The sequence below is a fragment of the Homo sapiens genome, chromosome 19 (genome assembly GCF_000001405.40).
Source record: "Homo sapiens chromosome 19, GRCh38.p14 Primary Assembly".
NCBI lineage: Eukaryota > Metazoa > Chordata > Mammalia > Primates > Hominidae > Homo > Homo sapiens.
The window spans coordinates 21,263,622-21,264,375 of NC_000019.10; the positions used below are offsets into that span (position 1 = coordinate 21,263,622).

A 754-nucleotide genomic window follows, 5' to 3' on the forward strand; every position below is an offset into this window, starting at 1 on the left:
CAGTCAACTACGGAGGCAATAGTGGCCTGACACACTATCATGCAGTTGGTGGTATTTACCAGATATCAGCTGCTGCCAATCGAAGAAGAAGCTCATCTCCACGAAAAGGTGGCAAATAGTAGTGCTTCCTATTAACACCTCTGTTATAAAAAGCACCAAAAAGGGGAATGGAACAGGAATTGAAAGAAATTAAAGTGTGTAAGCAGAAACTCAGTTGTATGTAAGAAAACCTAACTCCTCCTGAGAAAGAGAAAGAGCTGGAGTCCTTTAAAAACTAACTGCCTGTTTTTCTGTGGCTAGTGAGCTTTATCTCTCCTGCCTTCCAAGGCATTGTGAAGACTTTGTTTTCCTAGCTGTGCAGCTGCTAGGTCACTAGACAGATACACTCAAGTTGCAAAACATGTTTTTCCTTGAAAAGTAAGAAATGATGTAATGCATGTCTCAATTGAATGATTGTCTTTGTTTCTCACTTCTGTAGTACGCTTCCCCCTGCACAGATCTCCCCCCACTCCACCCCCATGAAATGCTTAAAAGGTAACTTAACTCTTTGTTCGGGGCTCAGTCCTTTGGATGTTAATCCGACTGGGCCAGTGCACCTAAATAATTATAAATATCCTCCTGAATCCCATCGGTCTCTCTGATTCCTTAAAAATCCCACAACATGGGTATATACCCAAAGAAATATAAATTATTCCACCATAAAGATATATGCACTCTGGGAAGTGAGGAGTGCCTCTGCCTGGCCGCCGCCCCA

General features: G+C 42.6%; 1 annotated feature.

Annotated features, from left to right (window-relative positions):
* Positions 223-423: a silencer, noted in NCBI's record as "peak3409 fragment used in MPRA reporter construct". NCBI's record gives its function as "represses an SCP1 promoter by STARR-seq MPRAs in K562 erythroleukemia cells {active_cell/tissue: K562}" and the evidence as "EXISTENCE:reporter gene assay evidence [ECO:0000049][PMID:32103011]".